At 35.4% G+C, this 19,194-nt stretch overlaps 1 protein-coding gene across 3 annotated transcripts in view, besides 3 other annotated features; it reads right to left on the bottom strand.

The window, feature by feature from the left end:
- Positions 1 to 4,124: 4,124 nt before the first annotated feature.
- The window catches only part of UGT2B7 (UDP glucuronosyltransferase family 2 member B7), a 61,613-nt gene continuing 46,543 nt past the window's right edge, over positions 4,125 to 19,194 (bottom strand). For 2 of the 3 annotated variants that reach the window (NM_001349568.2, NM_001074.4), the window contains 5 exons: positions 18,424 to 18,572; positions 14,174 to 14,305; positions 9,850 to 9,937; positions 8,790 to 9,009; positions 4,125 to 4,655 (listed from right to left, as the gene is read on the bottom strand). In NM_001349568.2, the coding sequence (NP_001336497.1) occupies positions 4,376 to 4,655; positions 8,790 to 9,009; positions 9,850 to 9,937; positions 14,174 to 14,305; positions 18,424 to 18,546 (843 nt within the window). In that variant the 5' untranslated portion in view covers positions 18,547 to 18,572 and the 3' untranslated portion in view covers positions 4,125 to 4,375. The remainder of the gene's footprint in view (positions 4,656 to 8,789; positions 9,010 to 9,849; positions 9,938 to 14,173; positions 14,306 to 18,423; positions 18,573 to 19,194) is intronic. The other variant, NM_001330719.2, reaches the window with a different exon arrangement.
- Positions 13,892 to 14,036: an enhancer, noted in NCBI's record as "145 bp enhancer 238 fragment used in the MPRA reporter construct; PK_construct_1404". NCBI's record gives its function as "activates an SV40 promoter by MPRA in HepG2 cells {active_cell/tissue: HepG2}" and the evidence as "EXISTENCE:reporter gene assay evidence [ECO:0000049][PMID:23512712]".
- Positions 13,959 to 13,970: a transcriptional cis regulatory region, noted in NCBI's record as "FOXA motif; enhancer activity is reduced when this motif is scrambled". NCBI's record gives its function as "necessary for full MPRA enhancer 238 activity {active_cell/tissue: HepG2}" and the evidence as "EXISTENCE:site-directed mutagenesis evidence [ECO:0005528][PMID:23512712]".
- Positions 18,296 to 18,672: an enhancer, noted in NCBI's record as "UGT2B7 (B) eExon fragment used in the reporter construct". NCBI's record gives its function as "activates a pGL4.23 vector minimal promoter by reporter assays in HepG2 cells and mouse liver" and the evidence as "EXISTENCE:reporter gene assay evidence [ECO:0000049][PMID:25340400]".

Raw genomic sequence — 19,194 nt, 5'->3', positions numbered from 1 at the left:
AAGAGTACAAAGCTTCCAGAGTGTGGAAGGGGTCCCGAAAGTGTAGGCAGAGTTGGATTATACGATTGCCTTTTAAACTCTTTAAGGTAAGAAATATGTGCAGCGGGTAGATGTTACCAGATGAGAAACAAAGACAATTAACTCTTTGTAACATGTCTTAGATCTTGAGGAAAACCAGAATTGCAACTTAGGTTTTATCTACTTTATGACCTTGCAGCTGTATGGCAAAGGAGACAGGATCTTATGGGACTTTACAAAGGATGTTTACAAGGAACTGGAATTAGGAGTATAGATAAGGCCCACTGGTTACAGAAAAACAGGCAGTTAACATTTCTTTCACTTTAGTTTTCGGGAATGGGGAAGGGAGAGAGGAAGAGAGGACACAGGGAAACTTACAGCAAAATTTTCATTGTTTATAGCTTTCTTGGGGAAGAAAACACATGCACAAATCCTGGTGTTAGGAATATTTTAAGCATTTATCTTCAATATTATTCATCCAGGATCGAAGTAAGTCCTCCTGCAGTAAATGAGTGAGTTTCACAGCTTTCTGAGTCCATACTTGACCCAGGAAGCCCAGCTGGCACCTCCTCTCTACATTACCCATCATGTTAAAAGGCATATTCAAAGTTACCAAAACAACATGGTATCGGTATAAAAGCAGGCATGTAGATCAATGGAACAGAATAGAGAATCCAGAAATAAAGCCAAATACTTACAGCTAACTGATCTTTGACAAAGCAAACGAAAACATAAAGTGGGGAAATGACACCCTATTCAACAAACGGGGCTGAAATAATTGGCAATCCACACGTAGAAGAATGAAACTGCATCTTTGTCTCTCACCTTATAAAAATCAACTCAAGATGGATCACATAATGAAATCTAAACCTTAAACAATAAAAAATTCTAGAAGGTAACATTTCAAAAACTCTTCTAGACATTGGGTTAGGTAAAAACATCATGACCAAAAATCCAAAAGCAAATGCAACTAAAACAAAGATAAACAGTTGTGATTTAATTAAACTAAAAAGCTTCTGCCAGCAAAAGAAATAATCAGTTGTGTAAATAGACAACTCACAGAGTAATTGAAAATATTCAGGAAGTATGCATCTGACAAAGGACAAATGTCCAGAGTCTACAAAGAACTAAAACAAATCCACAAGAGAAAAACAAAACCGTTCAAAAAGTAGGCTAAGGTAATAAATAGACAATTCTTAAAAGAAGATATATAATTGGCCAACACGTATGAAAAAATACTCAACTTCACTATCAGTAAAATGCAAATCAAAAGCACAATGCAATACTGAGAGGTGACAGCATGCTGGCAGTCCTCAGAGCCCTTGCTTGCTTTCGGCACCTCCTCTGCCTGGGCTCCCACTTTGGTGGCACTTGAGGAGCCCTTCATCCCACCACTGCACTGTGGGAGCCCCTTTCTGGGCTGGCCAAGGCCAGAGCCGGCTCCCTCAGCTTGCAGTGAGGTGTGGAGGGAGAGGTGCGAGCGGGAACCAGGGCTGCGTGCAGTGCTTGTGGGCCAGCTGGAGTTCCGGGTGGGCGTGGGCTTGGCCGGCCTCGCACTCGGAGCAGCCGGCCGGCCTTGCCGGCCCGGGAAGTGAGGGGCTTAGCACCCGGGCCAGCGGCTGCGGAGGGTGTACTGGGTCCCCCAGCAGTGCCCGCCCACTGGCGCTGCGCTCGATTTCTCACTGGGCCTTAGCTGCCTTCCTGCAGGGCAGGGCTGGGGACCTGCAGCCCGCCATGCCTGAGCTTCCCACCCCCACCATGGGCTCCTGTGCAGCCCAAGCCTCCCCGACGAGTGCCGCCCCCTGCTCAAGGGCGCCCAGTCCCATCCATCGCCCAAGGGCTGAGGAGTGCAAGCGCATGGCGCAGGACTGGCAGGCAGGCAGCTCCACCTGCGACCCCAGTGTGGGATCCACTGGGTGAAGCCAGCTGGGCTCCTGAGTCTGGTGGGGACGTGGAGAGTCTTTATGTCTAGCTCAGGGATTATAAACACACCAATCAACACCCTGTGTTTAGCTCAAGGTTTGTGAGTGCACCAATTGACACTCTGTATCTAGCTGCTCTGGTAGGGCCTTGGAGAACCTTTATGTCTAGCTCAGGGATTGTAAACACACCAATCAGCACCTTGTGTTTAGCTCAGGGTTTGTGAGTGCACCAGTCAACACTCTGTATCTAGCTGCTCTGGTGGGGCCTTGGAGAACCTGTGTGTCGAAACTCTGTATCTAACAAATCTGATGTGGACATGGAGAACCTTTGTATCTAGCTCAGGAATTCTAAACGCACCAATCAGCGCCCTGTCAAAACAGGCCACTGGGCTCTACCAATCAGCAGGATTGGGTGGGGCCAGATAAGAGAATAAAAGCAGGCTGCCCTAGCCGGCAGTGGCAACCCGCTCCAGTCCCCTTCCACACTGTGGAAGATGTGTTCTTTTGCTTTTTGCAATAAATCTTGCTACTGCTCACTCTTTGGGTCCACACTGCTTTTATGGGCTGTAACACTCAACGAGAAGGTCTGCAGCTTCACTCCTGAAGCCAGCAAAACCATGAGCCCACCGGGAGGAATGAACAACTCCAGACACGCCACCTTAAGAGCTATAACACTCACCGCGAAGGTCTGCAGCTTCACTCCTGAGCCAGCAAGACCAAGAACCCACCAGAAGGAAGAAACTCCGAACACATCTGAACATCAGAAGGAACAAACTCCAGACGCGCCAGCTTAAGAGCTCTAACACTCACCGCCAGGGTCTGCGGCTTCATTCTTGAAGTCAGTGAGACAAAGAACCCACCAATTCCAGACACAATACCACTATACTCCTGCAAGAATGGCCTAATTTAAAAATCCAAAAGTAATACAATGTTGGCATGGATGTGGGAAAAAGGGGACAGTTTTATGCTGCTGTGGGAATGCAAACTAGTACAAATACTGTGAAAAACCATATGAAGATTCCTATAAGAACTAAAAGTAGAAGTACCATTTGATCCAGCAATCCCACTACTGTGTATCTTCCCAGAAGAAAAGTTTTATATGAAAAAGACCCATGCGCATACATGTTTACAACAGCACTATTAGCAATTTTAAAAATATGGAACCAGCCTAAATGCCCATCAACCAACAGGTGGATAAAGAAAATGTGATATATATATATATATATATATACACACACACATAGACATATACAAGTATACACACACACATATACATACTATATATATACACCATGGAATACTACTAAGCCATAAAAAGAAACAAAGCAATGGCATTAACAGCAACTTGTAAGGAGTGGGAGAGCATTATTCTAAGTGAAGTAATTCAGGAATAGAAAATTGAACATCATAAATTCTCACTTACAAGTGGGAGCTAAGCTATGAGGATGCAAAGGCACAAGAAAAATATAATAGGCTCTCAGGATTCAGAGGGGAGGGTGGGAGGGGGTGAGGGATACAAGATTATATACATTGAGTGCAGGGTACACTGCTCACATGATATGTGCACCAAAACCTCAGAAATTACCACTAAAGAACTTACCCATTTAATCAAACACCACCTGTTCCCAAATAACTATTGAAATAATTAAAAATATGAGAATAAAGTCAACCAGATGTATATTTTTAAATATCTAGAAAAAATAGAATTGGCTCATGAAACCAAAGATGTTACAAAATAGTTCAATTTTACAGTAGGAAGAAGGTAAGAGTTGCTGTATTTCTAATTCCCCATAATTTCCACTGAGAAATGACTTAAGCTCTAAAACAGTAAACACTTGGCCATAAATTTTAGGAAAAATATGAGAATAAAGCTGCATGCATTATAAAAGCCAAGCAATACTACTCATCTTAAAATATCAAAAGGAAGAGAGACTTTCTGTACAATTTAACTATGTAATAGTTTCTTTAGCAGCAGTTAAAACAATACAATCCTGTTCAAAATGAAGCCAAATTATTCTGAGTATGTGCAAAACAGTACTGATACTGTCAGTGGACTTCTTAATGATCTTGTGTTTATGTACAATGTGTGAAATATAGTTAAGCTGAGTAAATTTTTTTGTGAGTATACTGTGAATTAGAACAACAAATTTCAATATAAGTTCAACAAATTTCAATACGAGCTCATAAGGCTTTATCTTATTTTTTATTTTCCGTAGTGTTTTCTTCATTGCCACAAAATATTTCTAACCATGAACTGGGTGGTAAATCTCTGAAAAACAAATTTTTATTTGACAAAGTAAATTTTGAAAAGATTTTTTTTTCTTTTTTTTTTTTTGTCTCAGGAAGAAAGAAATCTTGCATCACAATCTTTCTTGCTGGAATAAACTGAAGTAGTCTCACCTATCAGGTTTTCCAGCTTCAAATCTCAGATATAACTAATCATTTTTTCCCTTCTTTGCTTTTCTAGCAAACTTCCAGAAACAAAACAGACAACATTTTGTGACGATAAATATCACAGTTGCCACACAGACCAGCAGGAACCCAATCACATCCAAAGAGTGGTACTGGAACCAGGTGAGGTCGTGGGCTGCAACCCGAAGGTGTTTAGCTCCTTTGTGGCGCATGACAAATTCAATCCAGAAGACTGCTCGATCCAGGGGCTTCACTGGTTGATCATGTTGAATTCTTGATAATTTCATAACATTCTCTTTATATCTGAAAGATAAAAATAAAGACAGTAATGTAGCAGGAAGAGTTACAGACAAAACCCCTCAGACACCGAGTTAAAGAAGGAAGGGTTTTATTCGGCTGGGAGCATCGGCAAGACTCCTCTCTCAAGAGCTGAACTCCCTGAGTGAGCAATTCCTGTCCCTTTTAAGGGCTCACAACTCTAAGGGGGTCTGCGTGAGAGGGTCATGATCGATTGAGCAAGCAGTGGGTACATAACTGGGGGCTGCATGCACCAGTAATCAGAATGGAACAGAACAGGACAGGGATTTTTACAATGCTTTTCCATACAATGTCTGGAATCTATAGATAACATAACTGGTTAGGTCAGGGGTCGATCTTTAACTATCAGGCACAGGGTGTGGCACTGGGCTGTCTGCTTGTGGATTTCATTTCTGCCTTTTAGTTTTTACTTCTTTCTTTGGAGGCAGAAATTGGGCATAAGACGATATGAAGCATGGTCTCCTCCCTAATACTGAAAGTAAGTTAATTTGCCTGTCCATATCAAGTTTACGAAAGGCTTTTAAAGGGCCAAATAATTCAAAATAAATGTCAAAGAATTGACATCGAATTTGTGTATTTTAATTTGAGTCATCATAGAAAGTTTGGCTTTTAAATTGGACTTCTCTCATTGAGAAATATTTTTAAAGTAGAAATTGAATGTTAGCTGAGAAAGTTAATTTTTTTTGAAGCAGAGAAAATATAAGGCATTTTTAATTTGTTTTTAATTGTTTAAGTTTTTGAGGGTACATATTAAGTGTATATATTTATGGGGTATATGAGATGTTTTGATACAATATGAAATAATCACATCATGGAAAATAGGATATTCATCCCTTATGCATTTATCCTTTGTATTATGAACAATCTAATTACACTCTTAGTTCTCAAACAGACATACGGAGAACATGCTCAACATCATGAGCCCTTTTAAGTGCTATGAGAAAGATCGTGAAAATGCAATATGAGAATTATCATCTCTAAGTTCCGAAAAAGTAATTGTGTCATGGTGAGTGACGTGCCTCATAGCTAGTCACTTTGCTTCTACATTACTCTTTTGTCTCCTACTCTTTCCCACCCTGTAGCCAGAATGATTTTTTCAATTAAAGTCAGTTTAAAGCACTCCCCTGATTAAGACTTTTGCCTGGCTTCTCATTATTTTTAGAATAAAATCCAACTCTGTTATTTGGTCTACAGAACCCTACATTTTTAGACACGGGCAAACTCTTTTCCTAACACTTTTCCCCTGCACACTGTCTTCTAGATTGGCCTTCTATTTTACTTTAAGCTCCCAAAGGTGTTCTCATCTTAGTACCTTACACATTTTTTTCCCCTCTCTCCCGCTCTTGGAGTACTCTCTCTTGCTACAACCCAAGGAATGCTTCTCTCCCTTCTTGTGGCTTCCTTCTAATGTTACCTCTAAGAGAGGCTTTTACTGGCCACATTATGATGGAACCACTAGGATTTTCTCTATTTTCTGTGCTTATTTTGCTATTTGAGTCCTAGAATTTTAAAATGCATTATATATCTCATAAAATAAACATTTAAATATTAAATACAAAAGATAAATATTCATACACTAAGTGAATAGTTCAAAAATGTAAGATCATCTTGAACATTATCTTGAGGTGAAGATATCGATTTACCTACTGTTCAGATTGTGGTATAGGATATCACAACCTGCCTAGAATAACTCTCTTTTTCTGAACCATTTAGTCACCACTTTTGTCCACCAACTAAGGATTAGCCTGACTTCGAATAGCATACATTAGTTTGCTTGTTTATGTAATTGAATTATATAATACGTACTCATTAGTGTCTTTTTTTAATGTAGCAGTTGTTGGGTAATTCCATTGCTGTGTAGTATTCTGTTGATTGATAAAGCACAGATTATGTCTTCATTTTATGATTAATAGATATTTGGGTTGCTAACAATTTTTGGACAATATTGATAATTCTGTCATAAATATTCTTCTATATGGTATTAGATTTATTTATACATATCTGTTGGGTATATAACTGGGAGTAGAATTGTTGAGATAAAAGTGGAGACATAGTTGTGATTCACCTCTTGATCTCTAAAATTTAAAGATATGTTAGTTATAGTTTTTATAACCTCCCTTACTTCCACTATGGCTGGATCATATAGTCTTTATGATATTGAACCTTATTATATGTACTAAATCTTGATTTATTGCCCACCACATATCACTTCAGATAACTATTCGACATGCTCTAGGAAAATGTGTCTTCAAGTTGATATATATGATACATATATGTTTATTGTGTGTGTATGTATGTGCGTTTGTATCATTTTACATTATAAGATTCCATTTGTTAATTGTGTTCTTCAAATGTTTTATGTCTTTACTAATTACTTGCTCTTTTCTAAAGTCTGTTTAGATTGAGTGAAAGTATTTGTATAATCATATTTAAATCTACCAATTTGCTTTATATATTTTTTTTCTATTTGTCCAAGCTGGTTTGTGTTCTTTTTCAATTATTTCCTATCTTCTTTAAAGGTATTTTTATCATTCATTATCCTTCTTTTTTTGTGATAAAGTATTTTTCAAGTATTCCTTTAGATGATACCCTGCTTATATAAAAAAACATTATTGATAGTAGCTATAAATGCTGAATTGATGGTAGCTGGACTCCACAAGGAATTTTGCACATTGATATCTTTGGGTTTGAAAAAATCAATTATTAAAAATTTAACTTAAAATTATATTTTTTGTGCTTCAAAGACCAACATCAAAAAGTAAAATTTAGTGCACCCAGAGTGGGACAAAATATTTACAAGTTATATATCTGACATGACCCATAATATATAAATAGTTCTTAAACTTAATAATAAGACAAATAGCAAAGTTTAAAAATGTTCCAAGGATTGGATAGACTGTTTTCAAAGAAGATATATGAATGATCAGTAGGCACGTATGAAGATTCTCAACACCTTTAGCCGTAATGAAAATGCAATCCAAGACCAGGATGAGAGATCATTTTACACCCACTAAGAAGGCTGTAACAAAAAGTCAGGGAATAACAGGTTTGGCAAAAGTATGGAGGAATTGGAACCATGTTGTACTGCTGGTGGTAGTCATGAATGAAACAAGTACTTTGGAAGACAGTTTAGCAGTTCTTCATAAACATACAGTTCCCACATGAAGCAGCAATTCCACTTATAGTATCAACCCTAAAGAAAGGAAAACATGTTTATGCAAAAACATGTGTAGCAATCTTCCTAATAGCCACAATTGAAAACAATCAAAAGGCCAATGAACTGATAAGTGAACAACTAAAATATGACATATCTTTACTAAAAAATATTAAACTGCTATAAAAAGAAATGAAGTATTAAAACACACAACAACATGAATGAAACTAAAACCAGAAAAAAAAAACAACAAAAAATTAGCCTAGGTGAAATGTCATTTCACAACACCCTAAACTGTATGATTCCATTCATATGAAATATCTAAAGAGAATAATCTATAGAGAAAGGAAACAAATTAGTTAGACCAGGGCTAAGCGGTCATAGGAAGTGACTTCTGTGTCATTGCAGTTTCTTTTGTGTTGATAAAAATGTTCTAAAATTATGTAATAGTGATGGCTTCATGGCTCTGTAAACATACTAAATATATTTGGATTTTATAACATAAACAGGGGGGTTTTATGCTATCAAAATTAAATCTCATTTTCAAGTCTGTTACAATAATGATAATAATAAAAGTTAATTTTTCAGCAAGAAAATGGTTATACTCTGAGGTGTTTTAGATATCTAATTAAAATATTTTATTATATTATTTCAGGTTTATTCTTCCTTTCTTCTATGGATTAATTATGTCAAATTTTTAAGAAATGTATTTTTTGTATTATCTATATCCTTTTAAAATTATTTTTGTGTAGAAAATTGTTTCACTAACTGGCTATTCTTTAGATGTATGTGTTTCAAATTCAATTTTTAAATAACTTATAAAAATAAAAGCAGATTTCAGATTGGTTAAATCATTTAAATTCTTTCAAAATTAGTCTCTTATAAAAAGGATGAAACTCACACTCACTATTGACAAGAGAAGCTATCTGTAAATACCACCTAGTGAAAAATATTGTTCTACTCACGAAGGATCATTAATTACTCTCTTCAATGCATTCAGCAAGTCTGTACTCGACATTGTGTTGAAGTCCACTCTAACAGCTGCTCCCCTGGCCTTCATGTGAGCAATGTTATCAGGTTGATCGGCAAACAATGGAATCCCCACCATAGGGATCCCATGGTAGATTGCCTCGTAGATGCCATTGGCTCCACCATGAGTTATAAAAGCTCTGGTCTTTGGATGACCTAGGATTGGATGAATTTTAGCAAAATTACTCATAGGAATAAAATGAGATGCACAATGAAAGGCTCTGAAAGTGACAGTGTTTTCCAGCTAAAACACTGAACTAAATTAAAATTGTGTTTCAGACTTCGGAGGAAAAAACACGTACTTGTACTGGGTATGTAACTGAAGGCTATACGGTGTGTGTGACTTCAGACTGCAAAACAATACAAGATTTCCAGTTGGGCTAATGAAAAATTGCATTCTAGATTTCAAAAATGTGCAAAAAAGAAGACAGCAAAGAGATAGGCATGAAGTGAACTCTTATTTTAAGTGCAGTCACAGAGTGTGATATATGGGGTGGGCAAGGCAGCAGGCAGTGGTTTGGTGGTGGTGCTAGGATTGAGGAAGGACAGGTCACACTTCATCGTGAAATGTATCATCACTGTATGATTAAGATTAGCAGTTTAATTCTTCAGAAAATACAGAGTCACTGGTGATAGAAGAGCTATTATTTTTAGTGGCATTTCAAATAACCCTGCGGGAGAGGAAAAAAACAGGTGTAAAGTTGTAGAAATAGGAGACAGAGAGACAGCCCAGGAAGTTATTGAAAAATTTTGTGAGATATAATAACACCTGAAATAAAGATTCCCCCGATTCAGACTATAAAGAATGTGGGTGTATATCATAAAATGCCAAAAATTATAATGTATTCTTTCTCCCTTAAGACTGGAAAATCAATATAAAGAAGTTACATTTTGTTTTTCCTTAACAAATATTCAATAAGCTTGTTTCATGATGAACTATTAACACTCTAATGTGCTGTTACTAATATATTCAGTATTTGTTCACCAGAGTCTTACCTAGAAGGTCATTCTGGGGTATCCACTTGTAGAGCCGAGTATTGAGACCTAAGGTATCTGGTTTATTCCCATCAAATCTCCACAGAACCTGTTACAATAAAGAAAATATTTTATTCCATGAGTGGAATTCAAAAGTTATAGAATGTGAGAACTGTATAAAGAGTAGGAATGAGATCAAGGGATGTTAGTAAATAAGAACTACTCAAAGACTAATGTAAATAGAATACTCACATTAATTTTCTCAACTTTTATAATTAGTTAGGTATATAAGGAAATCATGATTTTCCAAAATAGTACCTTAGAAAAAATCAGATTATCAATGAAAATTTCAAGCATTTAAAAAATTGTTACACCTTTTAAAAGAAAACCTACGTGTGGCCAACCATCATATGAAAAAAAAAAAGAAAAAAGCTTAACATCATTAGAGAAATGCAAATCAAAACCATAATGAGATAGCATCTCACACCAGTCAGAATGGCTATTATTAAAAACTCAAAAAATATCATGATACTGGTGAGGTAGTATAGAAAAGGCTTGCTTATAATCTGTTGGTGGGAATGTAAGTTTGTTCAACCATTGTGGAAGACTGGCGATTCCTCAAAAACCTAGAGGTAAAAATACCATGAAACCCAGCAATCCCATTACTGGGTATATAACCAACGGACTATAAATGGTTCTTTTATAAAGACCCATGCACAGGTGTATTAATTGCAGTACTTTTCACAATAGCAACGACATGGAATCAACCTAAATGCCCATTGATTATGGGCTGAATAGAGAAAATATGGTACATATACACTACAGAATATTATGCAGTCATAAAAAAGAACAAAATTATGTATTTTGCAGGGATATGGATGGAGCTGGAGGCCATTATCCTTAGCAAACTAACAAAGGGATGGAAATATAAATATGGCATGTCCTCACTTATAAGTGGAAGGTGAAAGATGAGAACATGTGGACAAATAGACAGGAACAACATACACTGTGGTGTATTGGAGGGTGGAGGGTGGGAGGATCAGGAAAAATAATTAACTGATTTTAGCCTTAATATCTGGGTGATGAAACGAACAGTACAATAACCCCCCATGACACAAGTTTACCTATGTAAAAAAACTACACATGTCCCCTTGAACTTAAAATAAAAGTTACAAATAAAAGTTAAATTAATTTAATTTTTTAAAATTAAAAATATTCTAAAAATGTATAAAAATTTTAGCTATTCCTTATAATTCTAGTGTAAAAAATAGTAACAATTTTGTAATGACCTGCGTGCTTATTTTGTTTTATGTATTTTATATTAGTTTTCATTTTCCAAATTTAATTTTAATGTATTCATATCTTTTTGAGTAATTTGGGAAGTAGTTCACATGTATCTACTTGTGTGTAGGTTGTTATATTAGAGCCTGTTGTCCTTTGATTGACAAAATAACAAGTCCATAAATAAGCTACTTATAAGAAATAGATTAATGCTGCAAAGGTTTTATGTATAACTTCATTGGAATTATAAATTATCAAGCACTACTTCCAAAATAAATTTCAGGTGGTTATTTTTGACACAAATTCAGAGTATTATCAGTATTTCTAATTTTGGATATTTTTCAGCATAGAAATGAAGAATCTGTTGGTGTCATGAATAAAAACACAGCTGTTGAAAAAACTCAAAATTGTATCTTGCTGAATTTGGTTAACTGATTATTAACACTGAGACAACGTGCTACAAAGCTTTGACAATAGTGATTAACATGTTCTGCTATAGCCAAGACATTTTATGTTTAAGTTACTAATTTTGAAACTCCCAAGCAATCCTCATAAACTAAACAATAATTTACAGTGTTTAACTTTTATTTGCTACATCAGTGTTAAAGTAACTCAGGTTTCAGCAAAAGTTGGAAGAGGTCATTACAAGAAAGCTTTATCAGGCAGGAAATTAAAAAGTAATTGACAAATACACAAAGGTCACTGGCTTATTCTATATAAAAGATAATATATTTCTACTATATTTTATAGAGGGGGTATCTGAAGTTGTTTCTGTGCCTGGCCTCCTTCTGTTTGACTCCCTTCTATATTTCCTTCTGCTTCCTCCATTGGGAGGAGTTGTTAATCTGATAGTGCAGAGTCCTTGTGGGGCCACATTTTATACTGCACAGGGTCCACCTTCAGGGCAGGATCCATCTCCACCCTTTCATCTTCCTGCTTCAGACATTGGCTGGGCGCAGTCCAGCAGGGCAGGCTTTTTCTCTTTCTCTAAATCTATCTGGCTATGTGGGTACTTGGGATAGTTGTCTGTCCGCCTAGGCTGTTCTGTCTCTGAATAGTACCCTGAACATTACTCAGATACACCTCTTCCAAAATGTACAGGAAGTACAAGAGGCTGGATTACATGCCAAGACTAAATTGCATGATGCATGTCAGACTTTTTGAAATACCTGCTATTGTTATTGTGGTAGTGAAGTTACCCATTAAAATGTAACTTTTTCTGATAACACCTGTAGTGTGTACAGTGCCCTAAGGAATTCTTAAACAAAAGGGTCAAATGACAGGGGCAGAATTTGGTGATATCTCTTACCTGACCCCAATATCATGGCAATACCAAAACTTCACCTACATTTCTTGAATAAATTTATTCTTGATCATACTATTAATGCCAAATTTATTATCAATGAAAAACACCCTCTGTATTATTTTAGCATCGTTAATGTATATTTTTGATTTTGAACTAATATCTGAGAAAATTATTGCTTTCCCATCAGCTAAATTTTTAGGCAGGAAGTTTCTTTTTTTTAATTTGTCATATCCATAAAGTTTATTTTTAAAAATGTAAAAAACTAACCATACGGGAATATTTATTAATATACTTAAAAAGTTTGTTCCCTATGTTGAAGTAAAATACATTAGCAATATCTTCCAGACTCCATCTTTATAAAAATAAGACTTCTAGATCCTGAAATATACTACAGTAGAATCTACAGTTTACATTTGTTTTGAGAGGGGTTTGCCCAGGCTGGAGTGCATTGGTGTGATCTTGGCTCACTGCAACCTCTGCCTCCCAGGTTCAAGTGATTCTCCTGCCCCAGCCTCCCGAGTAGCTGTGATCACAGGTGTGTGCCAACATGCCTGTGTAATTTTTTCTATTTTCAGTAGAGACGGGTTTCACCATGTTGGCCAAGCTGGTCTTGAACTTCTGACCTCGTGATTCGCCTGCCTCGGCCTCCGAAAATACTGGGATTACAGGCGTGAGCTACCGTGCCTGGCCTATAGTTTACACTTTTAATCACAGGATTGGAATTCATTCTCCTTAGTCCCCTACTCCTCACATGTGTTGGTTATTATTCCTAAATTAATAACATTCAATCATGTTATACTAGCACAGATCCTTAAACAGAGAATATACCGCATAACTACTAACAGAGCCAATATTCTCCATTTGTTGTCACGTATTTTATACAAGCATTTGACTTAAAGTGCAAACAGAAATACTACATCCCATAATCGTAAACATTCACCAAGAGCTTCCAGAGTACAATAAGTAATAGAGGTGACCCAAGAGTCAGTCAAGTGTTCTTCACTCATTGGATACTGCTGAGATTAGGAAAACTGTTTTGAAGCTAATTATCAAAAATTTTACTTGTATTTCTAAAAGGACACAGTTCTGGATATACGTTTTTTGTGAAAACACCTGAAAGTCATTCTAAAGACTACATTAAGCACCATTTTCACTTAACTGAAATATATTGAGTTAAATTCAGCAGTATGTATGAGTGTTAATATCAGAAATTAAAAATAACTGTGGGTCTCAAGTTGCCTTTTGTGAATACATATGGAGTACTGAGTTCCCACTGATGCTAATAGGAACTACTCATGCATACCAAGGGTAGTAACTCCTCCAGGGCCACATGCAACCCCTAAGTCTGAGGCACAACTATTACTTCTGTCGGTGGATGCTATACAAGCATATTTAAGGCTATATTCAGCTATGAAGAGTTCAATCTACTCTTTAATATTCTTTCTATGTAGATCACATACACAATTCAAAATTTTATGGACAGGAGGTGAGAAGTCTCCAAACACTTTTTAAATACCTTTCTCCATTCAATTTATTGTCAGCATATTTACATAGGGGAATGTTCATACTTAACACCATTTAAAAAAAAATGCAACCACAATTTTCAAACTTCTCATAGTTTCTCCAAGATTATCCTTGTTCTAATTTTTCAACTTTTGGTCAACTTCACATTTATCAGAAGTTTCTATAATTGGATTACTTCAAACTTTAACAGCCTCTTTCAGTAGTTTTCCACACCAGTAAGGCACTTCATCTTACCTTTTGTGGGATCTGGGCCAGGGCTGATGCAATTACGTTGGCCCTTTCTTCTGTCATGTTACTGACCATTGACCCCAGAGAAAACACCACAACACCATTTTCTCCAGAGCTCTGTACAAAGTCTTCCATTTCCTGTGAAGAAAGAATTTGCTTCATCACAAAAGAGTATTAGCACAGCGGGCACTACCAAAAGAATTGGTGCAAATTACTAAAGAGAGAAAATCCAGTATTTTGAGGAATTATTGGAGTAAATAATATTTTTTAACTGACCCAATCACTCAGTTTTTTTGCAAGTAGATGTATAATATGAGATAGGTGGATGCTGTTAAGGATATTTGTGTAAATATGTGTGTATGTGTATGTATTTGTGTGCATGTGTGTAAGGGAGAAAAGAAATGGAGCTATTACATTGTTGTCAGGGAGATAATGTTAAAAATATTATACACAGACTCTTCTCTTACAATACTAAAGTTACTAATATAGGTTCTTGGAAAGTGGGACCACTCAGCTTTAATTCTATATTGTTGTTCTACTAAATCCCTTGTGTTTATTTCAGGCAGGTTTTCTGTAGAATTCTCTTAGTTGGAAACAGTTAGTGGTTTACTTCCCTAACTATGAGCTCTGAGGATAAGCTACTCACAGTTGGGATAATTTTATATCTACATTTATGTTTCTCTACAATGCTTTATACTTCACTTAAAGTTTGTCAGAGTTTTCTGGTAGTTTTTCAAAAACTAAAAAAAATAAAATAAATAAAAGCTGGTGGTTAAGAACCGCTGACATTCTGGAGTCTGGTAATGTAATTTGGAATTTCTATGAATTAGTCCAGGAGTCTCATTTATCATACAGAATTGTATATAGTTACATAGTTGAATGATCATATTTTTCAGGTGATTCTTTAGGTGGAATAACTTTTCCCTGAAATCACACTGTTAAATTGATGTGCTGTTTATAACTGCATGTGAGGAACTCTCATCATCACTTTGTTGTGTCTCAGAGGCAGCACTTGCACCAGAACAGAAGAGGCCACCAGGCCTTTCTGCAGGGGAGATCTTGTCTCTTTTTTGAGTAGCTCACACACACCACGTAACATTCCTAGTGAAGATGTGCTTGGCTGCAATCGATTGAGAATTATTCTGACTTGCGTTGTCCAATATATGCCGATGTTTAAATTTAAATACTTTCAGATTTAATGATTGGGGTAAAACTTTTCCTAACTGTTCTTCACAAAACAAAGAAAAAAAAGTCCAAATGTTAACTCTGCAGACCACATATTACAGAGTGTTTTTTTAAAATATGATTTTTAATCTTAACATGAGAGTCATTGTACTGCTATTCCAGGTAATACTTGGGGCATCTAGGTATTGCGTGTGATTGCAGTTGCCTGTAGCCATATTTAATGTAACTGGTGTTCAGTGTTTCATCTCACTAGCTTGATGCCCAGAGCCTTATTTATCCACCCAGTGTTGAAGGAATCGAGCCTCTTTACAGATTCATCACTGATATGGACTGGTTGTTTCTTCTTCTGTGATAACATAATAAAAATAATATAAGATTAATGTAAGAAATTTTATAAAAGCATGAAAAAAATTTTTTTAAATAAAATTTTTCTAAAATTTTTATGTTGTGATATTATTTATGTAAAATATATTTTTTCATCATGGCTTTTGTCCTATTTACATAGCTCAATGTACACATGTGACACTTATTTAGATAATTTTAATCTTATTATGTATACATTTTCCTCCTGCAAAAACTTGTCATCTTGTTATATTTATCATTTTCTAACTCACTTTATTTGTAATATGGCTGACAGTGTAGTTGAATATTTCATTGATAAAATTATTGTAATGCTATTGTATGCACATAGTATAAGTTTTTAATCATTCCTTCATTTAAGATGTTGGATTACTTCCAATGTTAATTTTATGAATATTTTCCATAATGTTTAATAGGTACACCTTGATTAATTTTTTTCTCTGTATGATTTCACGTGAACATATTATAAAACTGATAGCAATATTCATTTTTAAAACACCTGATACATTTTGTCAAGTGTCTTTTTCTCTTATAAGAAATTATCTTAGAATTTAATATTTAATTGAAATGAAAGCAACCTGGGTTAGCAATTATTTTACATAATAAACGAAGAACGGGTTTCACAACCATTGACTTGCATTCAAATCTTTCTGCAAGTTAATAACAACAGCTAGTAGTAGTAATTATCACTATTTTAGTACTAGTCATCCCTTTTCTTGTCCTTCTACACCTCCTATTCTCTTCCCCCTCCTACTGACACTATCAGTTTTTCCCTTAGTATGGGTGGGGAAATTTTTCAAGAGTAGGGTAGGGTGGCATAGATTTTTCATTAGTCTTACCTCAGCTTTTGTCTCTTGAGAAAGTTATCATATAAAGCCCATACAATTTTCATTCAACATAGATATTGAGTTTTAACAATGGAATAAAATTTCAGTTTTATGTAGACAAAAATGATCTTTTAAGAGATTAAATAATAACGTAACAAAGAATGCTTGCTTTGTACATATGTCTTAAAAGTGTGATATTAATTTAAAATATATGAGTTTATTGTGTTCCTTCATAAAAAATATAATCTTATATGCTGACAGAATTCCCTGGAATCTAAACTAAGGGCGCCATTCAGATACAAGTGGTATAAATTATTTGTGCTTTATTATACATGCATTGTTCATTATCTCTGTGCTTCTGTGTCAGGCAGCTATGATGTTGAGACGAGTTCCCACAGGAAGCTTTAATAAGTTGCTTGTCATACGGCAAAAATCATCTGCTCTCATAGGGTATGTTTATGCTGTAATATGTAAATCTCTGGGGTCTCAATGAAGAATGATTTAAATGCTTTAGTAAGATCAAGTGAACACTAAGTTTGTCTGCAAATATTAAAGGAACACATTTCTATTGTTGAGGAAGTGTTTTACGCTGCAATACTGGTGAAGATCCTTATTACCTATGGTAGAATTTTAGAATTTCAAGTAGCTCATCTTACTGTCAAAACTGATATGTCTACTTTTAATCAAGTCCACAGGGTATCTGTCAACTATGACTCTGCAAGAGAATATAATTTTGATGTACTGAACAATCTGGTTCTATTAAATGAAGAATGATATCTCAAGTGACCAGCACATGTTAAGTAATTAGTAGTATTAGTAATAATAACAAAATAGCCATAATTGCAAAATTAATAATATTTCTGAGTCACTGACTATATTCCAGAGACACTTTAAGTGTTTTGTCTGTGTTAATATTTTTCCACTCAACACAATATGAAGTTGCCACTATTTTTGTAAATGTGGGCATAATGATTTCTATCAACTTTCTAGTCGACTTTTCCATCATCTGCTACCTGAATCCTGCAAAATTTCCTGAATGGTTGGCTCTTTACAGTCTGGCCCTCCTGCAATTTAATCCATTGAATATCTTGAAAGCTCTCCTTTAAAAAGAGAATCTTTTCATATATTTTTATTTCTTAATCTTTTTAGTAGTTTTTCAATGTGCTTAATAAATATTTCAACTCCTAATACGTATCTGGCTCTAATTTGCCTCTCACCATCATCCGAGTCTTAGTCTCTCCCTGCAAACTAAACTTGAGGACTTGAGAACTGTCCTGACCACTTTACCTGCTTCTTTTTTTTTTTTTTTTTTTTTGTCTGTCTCTCCCCGTCATTCTTTTACCTATTCCTGCATATTGTTCAGCTCTCATCTTACTAATCAGTGACTGCAGGATACTTTCTATTATCTCCACTGATGCTTTCTTGGTATTGCGTTTTTCCTTCAGATAATAGTTTTTATATAATTTTTATTACTTGCACATATTCTATCTTTTGAAGTAGAATGTAAGGTATGTGGGGACAGAAACTGTGTCTATTTTTTTCTCTGAAAATTCTGCACTTACCTGTGTTTTGTGCTAATCCCTTTGTAAATATTATTTGATTGGATGACCAATACCTTCTTAGGTATTGCATAATGAAGACTTTAATTTAACCAACCCTATTTTCAAAGTCTCCTTAGTATTCCTCTCTATTTGTAATACTCATAAAACTCATATACGTGTGATGGTATTAACGTGCACATGAGTTTCTAATTGGTATCTGCTTTACCCCACCCATTTCCCATCTTTCTTTCAGTGTAAGTCAAACACTCTGAAAGAAGACTATAGAATCATTTCTACTGAAAATTCAAAGCCAACAAAATAAAACCAACAAAAGTATGTTTACCTTAGGCAGGGGTTTGGCAGGTTTGCAGTGGAGTCCTCCAACAAAATCAACATTTGGTAAGAGTGGATATGGAAACTGAAAATTCCAGGAGTTTCGAATAAGCCATACGTCAGCTTTCCCCATTGTCTCAGATAATGTAGTGGGTCTTCCTGACAGGAATAGAAAAAAAAAAGGTGGATGACACAAGATAATTACTTTAGGTAAATTTCTGAAAGGGGTTAGAATAATGTAGGCAAAAATGTAGGCAAATATCTGTGCTTTGAAAAATATATACACATATTCATATATAGATATAATTTAATTTTATGTATTACATATTTTGCCCATGTGTATTTATAAGAAAGACAAAGTAGTAGGAGAATTGTGAGGTTAAGCTACATCTCTAATGTCGCATCAGTATGCTCATAATCATAAACAATTATTAAAATGAGCCATAGAAAGTTAAACAGAAAATTTCTTTTCTCTTAAAGCTTCAATAGTAGCATACGGACATTTAAACAACTCTTTGAGCTCCATAATCAATTAATTCTACTCTACCCATAAAAATAATTTTCTAAGAAATAGTCTAGTTTACACAACTCATTAAGCTAATTCTTTTATCTTTGGTTCAAGTGAACTGTGGACTATGTTGAGAGTATGGCTGAAATCCTTGTACCAACTACTCTTTTAGATTCAAGCTAAGATCTTAATAATATTTTTAAGTAAATATATTTGTACATTATAGCTAGAAATTTTTGAGAAATTATTGAAATAAAAATTTGTACTCAACCT

This window comes from Homo sapiens, chromosome 4 (genome assembly GCF_000001405.40).
Source record: "Homo sapiens chromosome 4, GRCh38.p14 Primary Assembly".
Classification (NCBI taxonomy): Eukaryota; Metazoa; Chordata; class Mammalia; order Primates; family Hominidae; genus Homo; species Homo sapiens.
Note: the sequence above shows the minus strand (reverse complement) of the source record. Positions and strands in the feature narration are given on the sequence as shown.